This window comes from Homo sapiens, chromosome 4 (genome assembly GCF_000001405.40).
Source record: "Homo sapiens chromosome 4, GRCh38.p14 Primary Assembly".
Lineage (NCBI taxonomy): Eukaryota > Metazoa > Chordata > Mammalia > Primates > Hominidae > Homo > Homo sapiens.
In genome coordinates, this window is record NC_000004.12 from 29,828,926 (window position 1) to 29,830,444 (window position 1,519).

The window sequence follows — 1,519 nt, forward strand, 5'->3', positions numbered from 1 at the left end:
AAGCCTATAATCCCTAGATCACCTGAGGCCAGGAGTTTGAGACAAGCCTGATCAAAATAATGAAACCTCATCTCTACTAAGAATACAAAAAAAAAAAAAAATTAGCTGGGTGTGGTGGCACATGGCTATAATCCCAGCTACTTGAGAGGGTGAGGTAGCAGAATCACTCGGACCTGGGAGCCCACATTGTGCCACTTCACAGCAACCTGGGCAACAGAGCAAGACTTCATCTCAAAAATAAATAAACAAACTAAATAAATAAATAAATACATATAAAAATAAAAAGTCAGGGGATGAAGTTAAAGTATTGTTAGTTTACACTTGTTAGTTTGCTTGCTTACGCAATCAGTGTTAGGATGTCATCAGTTTAAAATAATGAGTTAATAACATATTATTTGCAAGCCTCAAAAAGCATACAACAGATAAACAAATAATAAAAGACAAGAAATTAAAGCATACCATCAGAGAAAATCATCTTCACTGATAGGAAGGACAAAAGATAGAAAAGACAACAAATTTTAAAATGGCAAAAATAAGTCCTTACTTATCAATAATGTTGAATATAAATGGACTGAACTCTCCAATCAAAAGATATAGAGTGACAGAATGGATTAAAAAGAAACACCCAACAATACATTGCCTACAAGAAACAGACCTGAAGTATAAAAACATATATACATGGAAAATAAAGAGATGGAAAAATATATTTCATGGAAATGGAAACCAAGAAAAAAAAAAGGAAGCAGAGTAGCTATACTTACATGAGACTACATAGATTTCAAGACAAACATTACAAGAAGAGGCAAAGGTCATTAAACAACGATAAAGGTGTCAATTCAGCAAGAGGATGTAACAATTATAAATATATATATGCACCTAACACTGGAGCACCCAGATATATAAAGCAAATACTATTAGAGCTCAAGAGAGAGGTAGACCCCAATACAATAATAACTGGAAAATTCGATGCCTCATTTTCAGTATTGTAAAAAATTCACACTGAAAGAAAATCAACAGAAGAGACAGACTTAATCTGCACTATAGACCAAATGGACCTAATAGACATTTATGGAACATTTCATCTAAAACATACAGAATACACATCTGTCTCCTCACCAAATGAATCATATGTTAGGCCACAAAACAAGTCTTAAAACCTGCAAAAGATTCAAATAATATCAGCTATCTTCTCTGACTACAACGGAATAAAATTAGAAATCAGTAACAAGAGGAATTTTGGAAAATATGCAAACACATGGAAATTAAACAATAGGCTCATGAATAACCAGTGGGTCAATAAAAAAACTGAGAAGGAAATTATATTTTGAACAAATGATAATGGAAACAAAACACACCTACACCTATGGGATACAGTGAAGGCAGAACTAAGAGTAAAGTTTATAGCTATAAGCGCCTATATCAAAAAAAGTAGAAAAACTTCAATTGAACAACTTTATGATGCATTTTAAAGAATTAGAAAAGCAAGAACAAACTAAACCCAAAATTAGTAGAAGAAAAC